This window comes from Homo sapiens, chromosome 8 (assembly GCF_000001405.40).
Source record: "Homo sapiens chromosome 8, GRCh38.p14 Primary Assembly".
Lineage (NCBI taxonomy): Eukaryota > Metazoa > Chordata > Mammalia > Primates > Hominidae > Homo > Homo sapiens.
The window spans coordinates 68775874-68797941 of NC_000008.11; the positions used below are offsets into that span (position 1 = coordinate 68775874).

The 22068-nt window shown below is 36.6% G+C and overlaps 1 protein-coding gene across 9 annotated transcripts in view; it reads left to right on the forward strand.

Annotated features, from left to right (window-relative positions):
- The window catches only part of C8orf34 (chromosome 8 open reading frame 34), a 488651-nt gene that overhangs the window by 445501 nt on the left and 21082 nt on the right, over nt 1–22068 (forward strand). For 6 of the 9 annotated variants that reach the window (NR_146186.1, NR_146187.1, XM_047421328.1 and 3 more), the window contains 2 exons: nt 526–576; nt 11570–11663. Coding sequence is in view for 7 of the 9 variants with exons in the window: in XM_047421328.1 (XP_047277284.1) it covers nt 526–576; nt 11570–11663 (145 nt within the window). In the remaining 2 variants the exon portion in view is untranslated. The remainder of the gene's footprint in view (nt 1–525; nt 577–11569; nt 11664–22068) is intronic. The other 3 variants (NM_001349477.1, XM_047421329.1, NM_001349479.1) reach the window with 1 other exon arrangement.

A 22068-nucleotide genomic window follows, 5' to 3' on the forward strand; every position in this document is an offset into this window, starting at 1 on the left:
AGCCATTATCCTCAGCAAACTAACACAGGAACAGAAAACCAAACACAGCATGTTCTCACTCATAAGTGGGAGCTGAACAATGAGAACACATGGACACAGGGAGGGGAATAACACACCCTGGGACCTGCTGTGGTGGTGGAGGGAGGGTAAGCATCAGGATAAATAGCTAATGCATGCAGAGCTTAATACCTAGGTGATGGGTTGATGGGTGCAGCAAACCACCATGGCACATGTTTACCTATGTAACAAACCTGCACGTCCTGCACATGTATTCCAGAACTTAAAATAAAATAAAATATATTTTAAAAATCCACTTGAAAGCTATATTGTTGTTTTGCAAAAACTCTTTTCTTTTTTTTCAAAGAGTAAGAAGTTGGCAAACTAACAATCCCACAAGTATCAACTGAAAAGGTGGGAGAATAGCAAATATTTGGTGTTGCTCTCAGATCCCACTCTCCACGATTCTTTCATTCTTTTTCTCTCCTTCTCCTGACCTTTTCAACCTCTCTTCCTCTTTACTTCTAGGGAGAAGCCTCCAGTGGAGTAGGACACTCACTGAAAAACTACATGGAAGAAGTGAGTTTTAAGGTTGCTTTATAATGTAGTCTGAAATCAGTTTATGATACAGGATGAAGCACTCACTTAGGCTTTCTCCATCTACTTGTAGGGTTTCTAGTCTGTATGTGTTCAATGGTCATGTCCACAAAAACAGGATAATAAATAATAGGTTAGCAAGACAGGTTTTGGTCCTCATTGGGAGAAAGATACTGTGTATCAGTTCAGTGATCCTGAACATGAAAGTAAAACTGCGTAAACCTGGTACTAATATATATTTTTATACACAAATATTTGTTGATATTCAAATAAATGAGAATAACATGGTTTACATTGGAGTGTGCACAAAAAAAGACACAACCGCTCTTCCTACTGAAAGAACAATCTATACTAGGTCTGGATTCATTCATGGGACAAATGGTCATCAGGGATGATATTCATACATGCCATTATGCAAAGGGCTATCCCAACAATTAAATATATAGTAGATTTCACTTGGAAACTTTTTAGACTTCTAGATTTATTATTTTTGGAGATATCCAAGGGTGTTCTGTGCCATGGAACTTTGGACTGATGGCAAACTATTGCAGAACTCTCAGATAAACCAGTGGGCAGAGCCCATAAAACTTGGCCTGAAGCCAGACCACCGTGGCCACTAAATTAGCTGTCTAAATCCACTGCAGGTGGAGGGAACTGGGAAACAGTTTGGTGATGTTAAGAACCGCCTAAAAGGATTTTGTGGTTGCCCAAGCTCTTGGTTCAGCATTCCCCACTTAACAGTGGATCTGTGGGTGATAGGCCACCTCCACAAGAGGGATAGCTGATGCCTCTTGTAATATGTCCTGTCTAGGTCTAACCCCATGTTCCCACCTGGAGAGAACTGAGGTGCTGGGCCAAGACATGGGCTGCCTGCTGATGATAGAACTTAAGAATAAGTCTTCTAATTTTGTAGTTCTCATCCAAGAAAAATAGGCTTGTTTTCTTCATAATTACTAACGTGCAATGTAAATGTACATGTTGTACACAAGTGTAAATGCTCAATGTGGCAAGAAGGTGGAGAATTTATGCCTTTTCACTTAAAGTACTTAAAGGCTATTGTTCCTCAGACTGTGGTCCTCTGACTACAACACTGCCATCATCGGGGGCTTGTAAGAAATACAAAATCTTGGGGCTCAGCCCAGACCCACATAATCAAAATCAACATCCTAACATGATCTCCATTTGATTTATATGCATCTTAAAAGTGCCAAGATGCTCTGCCATAAAGTGTCTTTTCCAACGTTCTTTCTAGGGAGTAACTGTGTGCATCATGAAAAATCCCAATTTTGTTTAAAAATCTCCAATTTTATATAAAATAGGTAAAGAGAAAACCTTTATTTATAAATTTATATCTTGCTTATTCATCTGCTCTCAATAATAATTTTTTGTCTGAAATAAAATATATAAAATCTCTCCAGTTTATGAGATCCATTACTGACTTTCAGTCTGAATTTTGCAAAACATGTGAACTGCCTTTCTTAGGGGTTTAGTATTACTCAGTACTTTCATTTATTATTGACTTATAGTGAGATTTTAGCTCTTTCTTAAGCCAACAGATGACCATTCTTTACAATAAAACTAAGATCTTAATTAGTAAACTATTAACTTATGACTAGTTGGCTTTTCTCACAGACAATCCATTTATGTATTAGAAAATATATATGTACTTAAACTCTTCTCCATTGAGAACATGTTTAGAATGTGAGCCATAAAATGATAGTCTTTTGTCTTTTCTCACTTAGGCTTTTATTTCACTTTTTCTTTTTTCTTCATGTTAGTAGAATTGGTAAACAATAAAAAATAGTATTTATAAATGTTAGAAGCATTGAGGCTAAAACTGAACTAGCAAACATTTGCTTTTATTTAGTACACAATAAAACTCAAACCATAGTGTTTACATTTTTAATATATTTAACATTTCTTACTAAAGTTTGAACAGCTCTTTGCAGATCAAATGCTCTTTTTTTCATCTAGTTTTATAATGAGACAGAATCATAACCACATGCAATTAGACAATTTTGTTTAGATCTGAATCAAAACTACAGAGATGATATGGTCTTCTCAAAAGTAAAGCTAAAATGGAGCTTTTATTCAACATCTTCTATTTTTCAATGTATTATTTGACTAAGATTTGTGGTTTTGACCAAATAAAAAATGAAATATTTTATAATTGCCTACATTTCTTTGTCCTCAAAATAGCTCTGATAGTTAAATTTTTAAAAATATTACATGCTTTTTACATCTAAGATACTTGATAACTCAAGGTGGGAATAATTTTACATCACAGAAATCTTAGTTTTTGGATTATATTAACGTTCATTTAGAAAGAGTATAATTTAAAATAACTTATCAAATTCAATCAGTTCCAAATCTGGATTATCATAATTTTTGTAGCAAATTTAATCCATTTACAATATCACATTACCAGGCTCAAGCTTGTGGCTCATGCCTGTAATCCTAGAACTTTGGGAGGCTGAGGCAGGAGGATTGCTAGAGGCCAGAAATTCAAAACCAGCCTGGGCAACATAGTGAGACCCTGTCTCTACAAAAAATCAAAAAATTAGGCAGGCATAGTGGCACACACCTATAGTCTCAGCTCTTCAGGAAGCTGAGGCAGGAGGATTGCTTGAGCCCAGGAGTTTGAGTCTGCATTGAGCTGTGATCTCGCCACTGCACTCCAGCCTGCGTGACAGTATAAGATCCTGTCTCTGAAACACACACACACACACACACACACACACACACACACACACACACACACACTACCCAGACGAATAACTGGGAAGCAGCGTAGTATACTGGTTAAAAATCCCTTTATCATTAGTGAAATGTAGTAATTTAAGTATATATGCATCAGGTAAGTATTGTCAATTCAAATGATTGAGAAGCCGTAAAGAACTAGACTGAAGTCAGTGATTTCATTTGAGATTCCTAACACCCTTAGGAAGTTAGTTGGTGAGGGCCAGAGGCAACATACATGGGAGTGCGAACTTACTGGCAGTGTGGCAGCTTCACAATCTCTTAGGGTGTCAAACAGAATTAAAAGCACGAGACAGGTCTTTTCAAATCTGTTGAGGTTGGCTTTGCCAGATGTGCCATCTGAACCAGAAAGGGGATCAATTCTATGCAACACAATATCCTGGAATCACTTTGGATGCCAGTTTTGGCCAGCTTGTCTTGTTTCTCCTGTGTAGTATTCTGCTCTCTGTGGTGTAAAGAAGTTTCAATTCTACTTCTGATGGAGAGTGTATGACATTATTCCCTATAATCAATAAGAGAAAGTTTACGTTTTATCATTCACGAAGGTTTACTTTCTAAAAATTTAAATAATTATTAATTATCATAGTTTTATTTCACTTAGAAAACTAGGAAATGAAGATCTTTTTTCAAGAAAATCCTATTTTATCATTAACATTCATTAAGAACAGAAACATGCTAAATCATAATTTTTAAAAAAGTTGTAATCATGGCACTCAGACAGATGTAAAATGAACACATGTGAAAGATTTATTTAACTGATAAATTAATGAGGGAACAAATAAAGCATTCCAATGATTTCAAAGAATTAAACCCTCACTTACATAGTCATAAAGGAATGCTGAAATGACATTATAAATCGATGGAAAAATTGGCAAATTTAATCACTATCCATAGGATAACACTCTATCGCATTCTAATGGACACAATTTACACTTATATGGACAAGAGGCATTTGCACTGCTACCACTTTCTACAAATTCCATAATTGTAAAATAGCTGAAGTCAATGAAGTCCCAGAGCTTCTGTAAAATCAGGCATGCTCGAAAAATGACTTGTTTTTCATTGATACACCCAATCATCTTTTGTTTTTTTTCCTAAGTCTTTTACAAATTCATACTACAATTTCCTTGGAAAGAAAAGCCACCAAGTGGAATGAGTTGGAAAAGAAGATGAAGTACAATCCCAAAGTATAGTGTAGGATGGCAAAATAGTCATGTACATTTATTTAAATATTTTGCATTTACTTTGTAATGTTTTTCACAACCTACTGTACTTTTCTGACTTTGTTATTACTCTCTCTCTTTCATTTTCCCAGATTCTATTAATTTATACTAATAGCTCTTAATCTTAAGTAACTTTTACAATTCCCAAAATAAATGGGCTTCATAAGTATAATTCACTTAAAAATTGTGGATTTTGGCCCAGCTCATGCCTGTAATCCCAGCACTTTGGGAGGCCGAGGTGGGCAGATTGCAGTCCAGGAGTTAGAGACCAGACTGGGCAACATGGTGAAACCCCATCGCTAAACACACACACATACACACACATACACACCCCACATGGATAGTATGAACCATTTCATTAACAAATGCAACAAGAAAGTTATTTACAAACTTTACAAATTTAGCTGTGTACATAAAGGGAATTTCATTTTAACGGAAGTGATTTTTAACGGAAGGATTAATTCTTTGTCAGTGGAAGCAGTCCATTACATGTATCCAGAGTGGAGTGTGACTTTGTTTGTTTTATAATATGCTTCAGGGAATCTTATTTTACAGGGATTCCATGGTTATGGAAGTAAAATTAAAGTGATTAAACCATTTTGAAAGATAGAAACTGATGTTTTGTGCGTTAGTGACATATTAATACCAAATGAAAAGAAATACTTAGTTGATTCAGAATTAAAACAGCCAATGGTAGAAGTTTGAGCAAAGAAGTAATTTTTTTTTCTTGAAATACACTGAACTTTCAGGGCCACATATGATAAATCACTGATTGGTTGCATTTAGAGAATCTAAAAATAAGCTCTTCATGTGGATCAACAATGCTGCTGAAGTTTGTAAAGCACTTATTCTGTTAGCAGATAGAATAATATATTGATTCAGAGCTAGCAACCATGTTCCATGTGATAAATATCACTATTTCCCACCACTCCTAGTCCCTGTACATTTGCTGTAATTATGGTGAAAGTGTTTTAGAAAAAGAATGAATAGGATTTCTTCTAAAAGTAACACAAAGAAGTTGCTCTTGGGAATATGAAAAAGTTTGTACTACACTCAGATACAGTTTAATATTCTTGTGGAAAATGTATATCTGAATAAGTTGGCAAAGAGGGACACGTCAGCTTTTGTATTTTAAAATGTTCAAGATTTTAGCTCTTTGACCCCATCAAAAAGAATTATATGTAGCCTTATGGGTTGAGCTTTAGACATACATAGTGGTGCTTGTTGGCACTGATAAAGTGAACAGGTGCGTTATATTACTAGCTCTATTCCAGGGAAAACCAAAGTAAAACATTTAAATCATCTATTAACAGTAATATTTGTACTATCTTTATGATTACAATAATTCAACATTTTAAAGTTCTTCCCAAACTACATATTTTACCAAGCTAATGTTCCATTTGTACTTTAGGCAATTTGCATTAATTAGAGAATAGTTGAATGCTGCTTATCTGTTCAGGAATAAAGCCATTAAAACCAAAAACCAATCAGTAGTATTGCTTGATATGCTGAACTATTGTGGGAAAATAATAACACAATTGACTTACTACTCATATCTTTTTCATGAAAACAAATTTTAGTATTTCAATCAAAAAGCTAAATAACCAAAATATTTTTAAATTAAAAACACTTTTTCATGATCACTTTAAATTTTTCTGTTTTAAAGGAATCACTTCCGCAATTTCATTTTCCCTTATGTATCCAAAATGTCTATTTTTCATATTTCTTCTTTGAACATCAGAGACTATGTCACATTTTTTAAAAACTGCAGCAGTGTGATTTCCCTCTCTGAAATTTTACTTCTGTTATCTTCTACATAGTTATGGAGTTTTAAATCTACAATTTTTTACATTTATGCTGTTTTTCGGTGTAGCTCAGCAAGATCAAATTTAATAATTCATAAATTTAAAAAAAAGCAAGTTAAAGTCCTTACAATAAACACTGGTTTATACCTAAATGGTATATTCCAAGATTGAGTGTCTTTTTTTTTTTTTTTTGCTGACTTTCCCTGCAATAGGCCATCTAGTGCCTCTCACATTCTACTCTCTAAAGGAATCTAGACCTAGATAGATACTACTTATGAGTACAAGAGATCATCTAATCCAGTAACTATCCCATTCTATCCCAAAAGAGACTTTAGCATGCCTTGGATTCACCAGGATAAAAAGCTGTGCCTTCTGACCCCTGGGGCAGTGAGTTTCTGCTGTGGAGCCCATCTCTCCTATGATAGGAGTTTAAGTTTTAATCCAATTAAAAGGCCATTTTCAAGAGCTGCTTGTGCTAAAAATCTTGTGCTTTTATTTTTAAAATGAAAATCACTTTTGAGGCTGGGCGTGGTGGCTCACGCCTGTAATCCCATCACTTTAGGAGGCAGAGGCAGAGGATGGCTTAATCCCAGGAATTGAAGACCAGTCTGGGCAACGGAGAGAGACCCAGTCTCTACAATGAGTTAAAGAAAAAAAAAAGAAAAAGTTATTGAGGCATAGTGGCACGTGCCTGTAGTTCCAGCTACTCCTGAGGCTGAGAGGGGAGAATGGCTTGAGTTCAGGAGGTCGAGGCTGCAGTGTGCCATGTTTGTGTCACTGCACTCCAGTCTGGGCAATAGAGAACATGTCTCAAAAAAAAAAAAAGAAAAAAGAAAAAGAAAATCATTTTGAAATTTGGTTTTGCTTTCTTTTGTAAAAGGAAAACGTGAGGGCCCCAAAATTACTAACCTAAAGGGAAAAGTCAAGCTGGGGACTGCTGAAGGCAACCTGCCTCCCACTCTGTTCAAAGCCATGCTGCTGCTCACTGAAATAGAGGCGCACGCCTGTAATCCCAGCACTTTGGGAGGCCAAGGCGGGTGGATCACGAGGTCAGGAGATCGAGACCAGCCTGGCCAACATGGTGAAACCCCGTCTCTACTAAAAATGCAAAAATTATCTGAGCATGGAGGCGTGTGCCTGCAATCCCAGCTACTCGGGAGGCTGAGGCAGGAGAATTGCTTGAACCTGGGAGGCGGAGGTTGCAGTGAGCCAAGATGGTGCCATTGCAATTGCACTCCGGCCTGGGCAACAGGGCGAGACTTCATCTCAAAAAAAAAAAAAAAAAAAAAAAGGAAGCATATCTGACGGCCTCCTTTGGAAAGCCTTATCAGAAACTCAAAAGAATGCAACCTTTTGTCTCTCACCTACCTGAGATCTGGAAGTCCCTCCCTACTTCAAGCTGGAGCTGTCCCCACTTTTCTGGGCGGAACCAATGTACTTCTTACATATATTGATTGATGTCTCATGTCTCCCTAAAATGTAGAAAACCAAGCTGTGCCCCAACCACCTCGGGCACATGTCGTCAGGACTTACTGAGGCTGTGTCACAGGTATGCATCCTCAACTTTGGCAAAAAAAACTTTCTAAATTAACCGAAACCATCTCAGATATTTGGGGTTCACACTTTCAATATTAAAAATAAACTTTTTTAGAACAGTTTTTGATGTACAGAATTATTAGATAGATAATACAGAGGTTGCTATGCCTCTTATTCAGTTTTAACTATTACTGATACTTTATGTTAGTATGGGGCACTGGTCACAGTTAACAGACCAGTATTGATACATTATTAGTAACCATATCTGTACTGTGTGCAGCTTTCCACAGGTTTTCCCTGTCATTTTCTCTTCCATGATCGCATCCAGGATCCACATTACATTTAGTCATTGTGTCTCCTTAGGCTTTTCTTGGTTGTGACCCTTTCTCACAACCAAGCTTTCCCTGTGTTTAAAGACCGCAATGGCTATCAGGAGTACAGCTCAGATATTTTGCAAATTGTTCCTCCGTTGATATTTATGTGATATTTTCATCATAATTAGATTGGGTTAACGTGTTTTTAGGAGGAAGACCACAGAGGTAAAATTTAATTTTCATCACATCCTGTCAAGGGTACATCCTATCAATATGCTGTATTGCTGTTGACCTTGGTCACCTGGCTAGAGATAGGGTTTGTCAGGTTTCTTCACTGTAAAGTTACTTTTATCCTTTCCCTATCCCTCCTGAACTATTTGAAAGAAGGTCACTAAACACAGCCCACACTTAAAAAGTGGGAAGTTATTCCCCACATCCTTAAGGGTGGAGAATTTACATAAATTATTTGAAATGCTCCTGTATATACATTTGTCTATTCTCATCCATTCATTTATTTATTTGAACATTTATTTTTATCTATATGGACTTACAGATATTTATTGCATATTTTGGATAATGACCCAATACTGGCTTATGTGTTTTGTTACTCAAATTGTTCTAGCTTTGGCTAATGACAGCTTTTTCAGTTAGTCCCTTATCTTTTTGACATACTTCCATCATTGTGTATGTGTGTGTATGTGTGTGTGTGTGTGTGTGTGTGTTTTCGAGTACTTTCTTGCTTTTTGGCACTACCAGATGGTTCGGCTTATCTTGTACATTTCCTCCCTCAGTCCTAGGGAGTCCAATCATTTATCCAGAAACCCTGGTTCTTTCATTGGAGAATGATTTTAGAAACCAAGATTGGGGTCGTAGGTGTGTTAATTGCTACTGAGTGTCATTGCTTCTAAGTCTTCTCAGGTGCCAGAGTAGAGAAACATATGTGTATATATGAATATGGGCCAGGCATGGTTGCTCACACCTGTAATCTCAGCTACTTGGGAGGCTGAGGCAGGAGGATCACTTGGGCCCTGGAGGTTAAGGTGAGTCATTATCTCACCACTACACTCCAGCCCGGGCAACAAAGTGAGAGTCTGTCTCAGAAAAAAAAAAGAAAATAAATAAATAAAGAAATACATATCAACATTTCTGTGTGTAGCCATCTGTATATATAGTAAGGTAAACACAAATTCATACCGACGTCTTTAACTCTAATACATTATGCACGGATCATTCCAGTCTCTTTCCCCTGCTTATCTGTAAATTGCCACACCAGCAGTGAGAAACCTGGCTCCCCTCATCCATTTACTTTACTGTTTGTTCATTTCCAGAGTACATATATAGTGGTTTCAGAATTGTTAACCCGTACTCCTATGGAAAGCAAGTTTATCATCTCGAGTACAGTGCATATGTAGAGTTCCTTTAGCCTTTGGTCTTACAAACTCCACTCATTTTCAAAGTTAGTTAGGTTAGCACCTTATTTCCTCCCCCTTCAGTGAGGTTGTTTCATACATCTGTAACACATTTATGTTCTTTCTTTTTTGATATATTGCCATTCATTCTTGGATTCCCCAACTTCCTAATTGATTTTTTTTCATTTGCATACATTAAAGCTTATGGTATAAAATTCTATGGATTTTGACAAATGCTTAGTGTCTTGCATTTGCCATGATGATATCACACAGAATAGTTTTACTGCCCTAAAATATATCCTGTGCATCACACAACCAACCCACCACTCCACTTCCAAACTTCTGGAAAATTGTGCTGTTTTGAAACTCTAGATTGGGGCTGAACTTCTCCAGAATTTGACATCAAAATGAAAGCCGTGGCAGATAGAATATTTATCTCATAAAGGAACTGTTTTAAGCAAAGTGGACATTTAATGACTGGTGGTGTCATGTTTCTTAAGTATCAAGGGTTGTGGAACTTTATTTTTACCTTGTTAGTATTTGTCTGAATAAAAATAAAGCACAATATCTCATATTGGAGAAAAATATAATTGAAAGGGGGTAGAGATGATGAGTGAATTTGAGAGATAAAGAGTGAATTGACAGATCATACTGATTTTATGTTTTTAATTTTCCAAATATGTTTGAAAACATGTTCTTGAGTCGTGGCTCAATAAATTTAAAGTCGTTATTTTGTTCTAGAGGAGAACCATCTTTCCCCTCTCCTTCCTTTTTACCCTTCGTCCTCTCCTTTCTTTTCTTCGTTACCTCCTCCTATATGAATGTTTACCTAGTAAGTCCCTATCTTGTGCAAGGGATATAGTAGATGCTAGGAATGCATAGGTGAAAAAAGTTATTTATGACCTCAAGGACCTTTTTTATTATTTTTAAGGACGGAAAAGATGAAAGTATAATTATTACATGGTATGATTCTATTGGTATAATAGGCACATAAAGGAATAGAGGAGTAACTCTGCCTTGCAGGATCAGGGAAGACTTCCAGTAGAAGTGACTCCCGAGCCTTGGAAGAGGAGTGTTAATGTTTAAGACAGATAAGGAAATGCATTGTAGAGCTACCAGTTAATTATAGCTGGAGTGGTCAAGGTGGGATTGAGAGAATAGTATGATAGAACATGTTAGACAAGTATGGATCATGCAGGGCTTTGAGTTTAAATCTTACCCAGGGAATAATGAATAGAGCCACTGAAAAATTATAAGCAACATAGTGATTACATCATATGGCAACTTAAAAAGCGTGCTCTGGCAGATGACTGGTGGGAGAATTAGACAGGATATGATACATGATCCTGGAAAACTTCCCAGATGGCTATTACTACAGTCAGGGTGGGAGATAATGAGGGTCTGCTTTAGTTCAATGACAGAAGGGAAAGAGCAGCAAGGAAGTATATGAGAAATATGTTAACAAACTTTAGAAAGTGAGAAGAGGAAGGAGGCAGTGAAGTAATACTAGGAGAGTAAAATCGAAGATGTTCTCTAAATCCCATTCATCTTCATTCTCATTAAAGGGAATTTGAAACCTTGATGGCAAAGAGGCACATTTTATGCCATTTTATATTGAATATTTCATGATTATGTTTCCAAGAATGAGTGTCAACATTTCCATAAAAATATTAATTCATAAGGAATACAGTTCAGGTGTTTCTTGACTCTAAATGTTATTAAAAGAAGAATGTAAAAAATGAGTTCAGAGTTTGTAGTATGTCTATGACATGAAAATGAATTTAAAGTTAGAGCTCTCCTTTTTTTAATGAGGAAATTATTCTGATGGTTTTTGAAGATGCAGTTCATAAAGATTGAAGTGATTATCCACATTAATGTTCATGATATCAAAACAGAGTTTAATCTAAAATAAATGTGTTCTTTTGCAGGATGAATCCTTAAAGCAATTGCAGGTAGTTCATCAACCATGGATCTTGCCAAGTGACACAGAAAGTGAAGGAGTGGAAGCAGAACAAGAGAAACGTGAGTAGACACTATTGTTTATTGACAAATTTCTTTTACCAGAAGGAAATCCACAATAAAGCTATTTCACTTTCATAGCAATAAACAACTTCTGTAAAAAAAAAAAAATCCAGACTCTGTTAGGAAGAACATGTAAAGACAAGCTATCCTTCAGGTCTATGTCTTCATTCAGTAACATCTTAATTATGGTACAGAGACTCATAGACTAACTTTCTAGAAAAAAAAAGCAATTCTTTCTAAAGACCAACATAGACTGTCTAGTTGGAATATGAATCTTCTATGAATAGTCTACGATTACATCAGTGATAATTTATAATTATTTTCAAAATTTCAAAGTATGTCAGGATCAGCTGATTATTATATATGAAATTATACTCATTAGTTAAATGAAGATATTTACATATGTAGACACTGTTCTAAGTTCACAAAACAAGTTAATATTATAAGATAACTGAAAACAAGTAGACTAATGGCTCTTGGTTCAAGTCACCATATTCTAATAATAATGAGGAATGAATCACTATACTAATGCCATGGCTCAGTGCATGCTCTCCAGGGTTTGTTGAAATTGTAAGACATATGGGCCCAGAAATCTGGTTGAGAAGTTAGTATCAAATTTTATTTATTTATTTTTCTAGTGGTAGCCCTCAGAGAAAAATAACAATTGTATGTGATAATGTAGCCCTCATGATAATTGGTGTGATGTGATGAATAAATAATTCTCCTGAGCCATAACCATGAGAAATACTGATATGTTACATAGGTAGCATTATAATCATGAATCTGGAGAATCCAGGAAATTACACTTCCAGGTTAAAAGCCATTTTAAAATGTTCTTATCCCACTTCCCCACTTCCATACTGTGGGTTTATGTGGTCAGAGGGAGCACAGGCATGAGAGTGAGTGCTCAGGTTAGAGGAGGAGGATGGAGGCCAAGGTTCACTCAGCTGTCACATTCAGGAATAGAGTAAAAAACACAGTGGTACTTTATAGATTCTATTGAAGGAAAACAGCAACCATCTTCTATAGAAAACAACTGATAGGCTGGGCATGGTGGCTCACCCCTGTAATCCCAGCATTTTGGGAGGCCAAGGTGGGCAGATCACCAGGTCAAGAGATGGAGACCATCCAGGCCAACATGGTGAAACCCCGTCACTACTAAAAATGCAAAAATTAGCTGGCCATGGTGGTGCTCACCTGTAGTCCCAGCTCCTTGGGAGGCTGAGGCAGGAGAATTGCTTGAAACTGGGAGGCGGAGGTTGCAGTAAGCCGAGATCGCGCCACTGCACTCCCGCCTGGCGACAGAGCGAGACTCCGTCTAAAAAAAAAAAAGATAACAACTGATAAAGATGGAGAAAGTAGAATGTACTTTAAGCAAGTACAAAAGCAAAGAGTATTTTGGAAGTCCCTTAATGCAAGGAATCCTAAGTAAAATGGTTTAGAAAATATAATACTGTGGGATACAGAGAAAATAATCCCCAAATGTGAAAGTATTAATAGTGCTCCAAAAGTTTTATGAAAAAATGCAAACATATCCACATCCCCCCATCTTCCCACATATTTAAATATACATAATCTCTCATTCTAGATTTTGGCTGTAGTGGTTTTTCACCAATTCTTTTGAGGCCTTCGAAAATTTCATGTTAAAAAAAACCTTCAAGCACTGTGGGTGTGTATTGTATAAACACAATATGGGAAAGTGTGCTAGTTTTACTGTTAGATCCTACAAGAGGTGCCCAAAGTGGGCAAAACTGGTAAACAACATCCTTATAGAATGCAGAGCATGTTAATTATATGAGTGTGCTATATTTTATAATAAACTAAAACTTAGACAAGAAAATAATCCATCAAAATAGTATATTATATCCAGTTTCAAATTTAGTCTTCTTTTCTTTTCCTTAAATCCATATATCTCCAATCAATATTAAGAGTAGAAAACATAGCCTAATCATGTAAAGGATATGCAAATCCCCAGAACTTTCTTCAACCCTTGTCACCTAATACGCATTGCCTTTCTGCTTATATTTTTACAATATTTTGGCAATAAGTTTTAATTTTCTTCTCTTCTACTAGGGTACAAGTTATTTGAGGGAAAGGGTCCATTCCCTTTTTCATCTTATTGAGACACAAAATAAGCCTTCAATAAATATCAGAAGAATTAGTAAATGAATGAGAAAATGAATGGATTTATTTTTTTCCAACTTGTTTATCAGGACAGCTAGAAATTAAAAAATAAAACAAAATAACTATTATAACTATGAATAACTGTTATAAAAGTTATTTATACTTTTATTAAAATTTTAATATTGGATTTATAGTTTATCCATGGGTTTTGCTAAATGGTCCATCAATCACTCTAAGAAAGTCCATTCCTGAACTCTTGTAACCATAGAACTAGAACCAAAAATATTTGATCTTAGCAATGTTGTACTGGGAGATGACCCTTGACAATGGTAAATTGCTTGAAATAAAATCAGGGTTTAAAGTAATTGGGTAGTAATGGGAGCCATCTGGAAATGGAATGCTAGTTAGCATTGTAGCCAAGCTCCCAGCACAGAGATGCAAATAAGAGTAGCTTCCATCAACCAGGTGCTGGGACATGTATACATTGGAGCCACTGAAGCATTGGTATCTCCACTGATACTTTCAGTCAACGCATGTGGTTTGCAGAACAGCTGGCTAGATATGCATAGATCATCTGCCTCTGTCTCAGGAAAAGGAAATAAATGACATAAATCTTTGTGAGCCCAGTATCTGATTTAGAATTTACAGGCTCATATCCTAGAAACTTATGAGTGAGGAAGATGACAAGTTTATCATTTCAACAACACCTGTTTCTTGACTCAGCTTTCTATAAATTATGCCTAGGTAATTTTATGGGATTGTCTAATTTCTCTTGAGACAAGATCATCTTGGCAGATAGCTTCCAAATAACGTCAGGGGTAATGCATATTTCTTATTGCACCATTTAAAAATAAGACTTAGCTCAAATAAATTTTTATAAATCAGCACCTTTAGGAAAAGATATTGTGAACAATTAAATAGGGAGCTTTATAAACTTTTTATAAGCAAGATAAGCAAAACCCTTGATTAAATAGATTTTTTTCTTTGCTTTTAATTAAAAAGTATAAATTCAAGTGTGAAAAAACTTGTGTCAGGGTTGTGTTTCTTTCTAATCTCTCAGATTATGGTCTGAAGTCACTAAACAAATCAAATTCCAAATATTTGAATCTACTGGGGTACTTGTTTAACACTCATATTCTGGGACTCTATTTCAGACCTACTAAATCAGAATCTCTGTGGCTGGGACTCTGAATTCTGCATTTTTCATACTTTGGTAATATTTGCTTATTCTAAAAGTTGAGAACTAGAAGAAAAATTTCAATGAGTCAGAGGGTTATGTTTTCTGAATCAGCTTCATAGTATTGTTAAACTTTGGGTCTTCTTTTTCTAGGCTTCTTTCCTCATCTATAAATAAGTTTGAATATAAAATGTGAGTCTGGAGAAAAAGGAAGGCTAAAATTTGAAGAAATATACATGGAGAAGACATGCAAGACAGTGTATTAGTCGGTTTTCACACTGCTATAAAGAACTGCCTGAGACTGGGTAATTGTAAAGAAAAAAGGTTTAATTGACTCACAGTTCCCCATGTCTGGGGAGGCCTCAGGAAACTTACAGTCATGGCAGAAGGAAAAGGAGAAGCAAGCACTTTCTTCTAAGGAGAGAGAGAGAGCAGTGAAAGCCACACATTTTTAAACCATCAGCTCTCGTGAGAACTCATTATCAAGAGAACAACAAGGGGGATATCTGCCCCCATGATCCAACTACCTCCCACCAGGCCCCTCTTCTGACACATGGGGATTACAATTTGACATGAGATTTGGGTGGGGACACTGAGCCAAATAATATCAGACAGGTCCTCCAGACTGTGGGTTCAATGCTTACAAAATCAAAACACAAAACATTTAGAATCAATTTAGCCAGTACCCTCTAATTACATTTTAGATTTTTAAAAACACAAATAAATAAGCTAAAAACACACAAGCAAACAAACAACCAAACCAAACCAAACCAACAAAACAACACAAATGTCCCAAATAAAGAAATAATAGCCAAAGTCACAGATGAAAGCTAATGCTGTCATAAAACATTAAGACTTCCCCACTTGGGTTTGGGTCCTAGTTCTTCCTGAGGTCTTAATGTCTGTAACAATAGGTAATTTGGCCCTGGGTCTCCTTAAGGCAGGGAGATTGAGATGATGACACGGTATAGAGCCTGTCACCTGCAAGGACTGACTCAGGTATAAAAAGGGAAATAAAATACCTGTACTCTCTAACTGTGGAACAAGCCATGAAATTTGCTATTGGTATTAGACTTTGAACGAAAAATGTAAAGATACACATAGGGAATCAAACTCTCAGCTCTGTACTTTGGTTATTCGGTTCAAACTTAAACTATCTGTATTGTCAGAAACCCCACATTATAATAACAATTGGCCAGCTTCATTAAAATTCACAGGGTCCTCTCATGTGTAAATGTAAGAACTGGGGCATTTAGAACTCCCAAAGATTTAAATATCAACTCCTGCTGAAGACGAGCTCTCAATCAAATTACAAGCTGCCTGAAAAGTTATAGTAAAACAACAGAGTCAGCAAATGCTAAAAACACTAGAATTAGAATGATGAGAAAGGAAAGAAATAAGACAATCAGAAAGAGACCATATTAAAAGTATGCTTAAGATATTTAAAGATATAGATCAGGCGCAATGGCTCACGTCTGTAATCCCAGCACTTTCGGAGGCCAAGGCGGGCAGATCACGAGGTCAGGAGATCGAGACCATCCTGGCTAACACGGTGAAACGCCGTCTCTACTAAAAATACAAAAAATTAGTCGGGCGTGGTGGCACACGCCTGTAATCCCAGCTACTCGGGAGGCTGAGGCAGGAGAATCGTTTGAACCCGGGAGGTGGAGGTTGCAGTGAGCCGAGATCACACCACTGCACTCCAGCCTGGGTGACAGAGTGAGACTCCATCTCAAAAAAAAAAAAAAAAAAAAAAAAAAAAAAGATATTTAAAGATAGAAAAGGAAAAGGAACCATACTGAAAGAATTCTAAAGTAAGGAAAAAGACAAAGAGATATTTAAAAGATTATCAAGAACTTCTCCAAGTAAAAAAATAGTTACTGAAATTAAAAACTTAATGTTTTAAATATCTCATTAAAAAATTCTGAAGATAGAATTAGATGAAAGAAAAATAGAAAGTTTGCCAGAAAGCAATAAAAAATATAAAGAGATGGAAAATTGAAATTTCAGGTTAAGTGGCATGTGATATGTGTGTGTATGAGTGTGTGTGTGTATGTGTGTATGTATGCATATATAAAAATACATACATGTACTTACAAACATATATAGATACAGCTTTTAATATATATGTGTATATGTATACATACACAAACATACATATATATTATAAGCTGCATATAGTACAATCTCCACAAGAGAAAATAGAAGAAAGGCAATAGTGAAAGATACAGTGACTAAAAAATTTTCCAGAATTAATGGAAAGTTTTAATTCTCAAATTGGAAAGCATAACAAACTCTATTTATTTTGATATTCACATTGTAAAAATACAGAATATCACAAAGAAAGAAAATCTAAAAAACAACAAGAAAAAGCACATAGATTGTATAAAAATAGTAAAGTTAAACAGTGGAATTTTCTTCAGTTAAAACTACATACTTCCAAAAGGCTGAGAGTAAATCTTGTGCCCAGAGAAACTACTGTGTATGAGTGATCACTACTCACAGATCTTTACTGAAGAAATTGTTCTAGGTTATATTTCAGTAGAAAAATAGTTGATTCCAGAAGGATTTTCAAGTATTAAAAAAGCAAATATTAGAAGAAAAACTGGTAAACATGTTGTCAACCTTTAAGAATTACTGGCAAACATAAAAAGGAACAAGATCATATTCTTTGCAGGGACATGGATGAAGGTGGAGGCCATTATCCTCAGCAAACCAACGCAAAGACAGAAAACCAAACACCAAGTGTTCTCACTTATAAGTGGGAGCTGAATGATGAGAACACATGGACACATGCAGGGGAACAACACTGGGGCCTGTCTGAAGTAGGGCAGAGCATCAGGAAGAATAGCTAATGGATGCTGGGCTTAATACCTATAGGTGGTGGGATAATCTATGCAGCAAACCACCATGGCACACATTTACCTATGTAACAAACCTGCACGTCCTGCCCATGCACCCTGAACTTGAAATAAAATAAAAGTTGAAGATTAAAAAAATTACTGGCAAAAATTAAAAAAAGTATTAATTTCCAATAGAAAACAGGAAATGAGGGGGAGAAAAATATGGTACGTATAAAAATGTATTGGTATAAATAAGTCTAAATAGTTCATAATTACAAAAACCTGGTATAATAAATAAATGGTGATGTGAAAGTGCTGCTTAATCTAGTTTCATTTATTATTAACATAACAAATGTTATATTCATAAGCTATGAGGGTCTTTAAACTTATAGGTGCATGCAGGTTGAGTATCTCTTATCTGAAATTATTGGAACCAGAAGTGTTTCAGATTTTTGATATTTTTGATTTCGGAATTTTTTTTCTGTTTTTAAAAATTTCTTTGAGACAATGTGACAGGGTCTCACTCTGTCACCCAGACTGGAGTGCAGGGGGGCAATCACAGCTCACTGAAACCTCTGCCTCCAGGGCTCAAGCGATCCTCCCACCTCAGCCTCCCAAGTAGCTGGGACTACAGATGTGCACCACCACACTTGGCTATTCTTTTTATTTTTGTAGAAACAAGGTCTCGCTATATTGCCCAGGCTGGTCTCGAACTCCTGGGCTCAAGCAATCCTCCCCTCCCTGCCCTCCCAAAGTGCTGGGATTACTGGCATGAATCATTGTGCCCAGTATATAAATATAAATATATATATATATATATATATATTTTTTTTTTTTTTTTTTAGACAGGCTCTTGCTCTGTCACCCAGGCTGGACTGCAGTGGCACAATCATAGCTCACTGCAGCCTCAACCTTCTGGGGCCAAGTGATTCTCCCACTGGGACTACAGGTTTACACCACCACACCTGGCTAGTTTTTGTACTTTTTGTAGTGACAATATTTCACCATGTTGCCCAGGTTGGTCTTGAACCCCTTGGTTCAAGTGATCTGTCTGCCTCAGCTTCCCAAAGTGCTAGGATTACAGACATGAGCCACATGCCTAGCCAGATTTTGGAATGTTTGTATTATACATACCAGTTGAGGACCCATAAACATCCTAAATCTAAAATCTGAAATCAGCATTTCCTTTGTACGTCATGTCAATGCTCAAAATGTTTTAGATTTGGGAACATTTTGGAGTTTGGATTTTCAGATTTTTGGATAAGGGATACTCTGTATATGTATATTCATATACTCTATAGGTAACTGTTAATTTTTATTTGTTCTATTTTTATTCTGTTCCTCAGATTGCATAATGTACATTGACCTATCTTCAAGTTATTTTTTCCATTATGACTGTTAAAATCTGCTGTTGAGCCCTTCTAGTGGATTTTTATTTCCATTTCAGAATTTCTAGTTTGTTCCCTTTATAATTTGTATCTCTTTACTGCTGGTCTCCATTTGGTGACCCATCATTCTCATACTGTAATTTATTTGACATAATTGCCTTTAGTTGTTTGAATATATTATAGTAGCCCCGATTAAAAGTCTTTGTCTGGTAAGTTAATCATCTGGACTTCCTCATGGACAGTTTTTATTGACTGCTTTTTTTTTTTTTTTTCCTATTTATGGGCCACAATTTCTTGTTTCTTGGCATGTCATTTATTATTTTTGTTTTGTTGTTGAAAACTGGACATGTAATATAACATAATGTGGAAACTCTGGACTTCAGACCCTTTCTCCTAGGGTTTGTTATTGCTGCTGTTTGTTTTGCTGTTGCTGCTGCTGCTGCTGTTTCTTTATCTAGCAACTTCTGTGAAGTAATGCAGGTCAAGTCTATGTTACCTGTTGTACTCAGCCATTGAAGTCTCTGCTAAGTAGCATAGTGGTCAGCTAATGACTGGACAGGTGTCAAGGCATTTTATGAACACTCAAGTAGTTTTTAACTCTGCTTCCACAGAGCCTCTATGTCAACCAGAGGTGAGAGATAGAGCCTTATGTAGAGCTTTATGGAGTCTTTCCTAATAGGTGCACAGCACTACACATCTCTGTGGCCTTCCATGGAAGTCTCATTTACCAGATTTTCTTCTAAACTTTTTTGGTAAGCTTCTTGTTTAGCCCAGCTGGTATCACTCCCTTAGACAGCTGTGATGTAACCCTACTGTCCCTGATTGTTTTTGACAAACATCCTAAGGGCAGAGGTTCTCACTGAGTGAGCTTTAATTCAAGTGAAATAAAGAACAGCCCTTTAAGGCAGCTTCCATATAAGTCAAGGAGTGACAATTGTCTGAGGGTGCCGCATTTGGGAAAACGTCAAATACATCCTTCCCTCTCTAACAGTTGCTAGGCTGCCTGGTTCACAGCCACTGTCATTGTGAGTCTGCTGATTTTTAAGGCTACTGCAGAGCTAGAGAGAAGTGTATTGACATACGGCAAGTTAAAACCCCACATAACTCACTTGTTCTTATTGAGATTCAGCCGTTTTTCTTGAGTTAATGTTCTATGGGTTGTTGTAAGCCTTTGGTTTATTGCCAGAGTTCTGAAAAAAGTTAATTTTGATGATTATTTTTGCCATTGTTCTTATTGCTTTTCAGGAGCCCCTGATTTTTGGAGATTCCTATACCACCTTTCTGCAAGTGTTTCTCTACTCCTATAGTCCTTGATTTCATCAGCTTAGTTTTCTCTTTATTTGAGGAATGGAAGTATGATATTTTCAAAATCGGGTATAGAACCAGATTAAATCTGCCTCTTTGGGCCCTAGTTTCATGAGAAGCTATTAAAAACAATTCTGTGGAAAAATAAGTTTTGGTAAAGTCTGCATATTACAATATTTGAGAAATTCATAATTGTAAGACCATATCATTGATATAACAACAGCTTTTCAAGAGGAGCAAAGCAACTCTATAATTTTAAATGAACAGATCAAATATAATAAGCATCCTGGTTTAAAATGGGGGAAATGTTGTCCATTATTGGACTTGAGGAAATGGCACAGAGACTCTTCTAAAATATTTACATAATCCAATCACTGGGTAGTCCTGTGGCAATGAGATCTGCATGACTTTGATTAGTTCAGCTTTTGAAAAATATATTTGAGTTCTTCTTTTTTTTTTTTTTTTTTTTTTGAGACAGTGTCTTGCTCTGTCGCTGAGGCTGGAGTGCAGTGGCGCTAACTCGGCTCACTGCAACCTCTGCCTCTTGCATTCAAGCAATTCTCTTGCCTCAGCCTGCCGAGTAGCTGGGATTACAGGCACATGCCACCACGCCTGGCTAATTTTTGTATTTTTAGTAGAGATGGGGTTTCACCATGTTGGTCAGGCTGGCCTCAAACTCCTGATCTTAGGTGATCCACCCACCTTGGCCTCCCAAAGTGCTGGGATTACTGGCGTGAGCCACCGCACCCAGCCTATTTGAGTTCTTGTAGAATGCCTATGCACGTCTATTTTCAGAATGCCTATAATTTGCAGAATCTATTAATTTTTGGAAGAAGAAGTGCTCTAAGCGCTTAGGAGAGGCTAATCTAATCTAATCATCTCAGTCTTAATTCTCTCAATTTAGTGATGGGGAAATTGAAGTTCCAAGAGACTGTGGACCTGTTCATGTCACTTAATTAGTGGCAGAGGCAGGACTAGAATGAAGGTCTCCTGATTGGGCTCAGTCCTATTCATTTTCATTGACCCATGCTTCACTCATGACTTCCCCTCTCATTACTAGGAGTGACACAGTTGATGCTATGACTCCTGAGAGCAGAAGAGCTTAGTACAATAAGTGGAGCTACCATATTCCATTGGCCACCCAGAATGTGGCCAGGTTTTTCACCTTTAAAAAAAAAAAAGTTTCTTCTCCTTCACCTAACCTCAGGTTACTTGTTTCCAGGCAGTCTCCCAAGATTTGTATTTGAGCAATATTTGAGATAGTGGTACTGGGGTGTTAGAGTTGATTATGTCACCAGGCTCAAGATAAGGTACTAACAGATTGATCTAGCTAATGACGACATGAAAGGGATGGGTCAGAAAGTGTGCACTGTATGGAATATAAAGGCTAAAATGAGTTAATAGTCAATTAGGTCAGATAAGTGTCAGGGCTTCATGAGGATTGTGGCATCAGAAATAGGCACTAGAGATTTGGGTATACATTTCTCAGGAAAAAAGTGAGACAGGACTTTGGTGCTTTGTTAGTATTTAAAGGTCAGCTAGGGTATCTCACACAACACAAATATTTG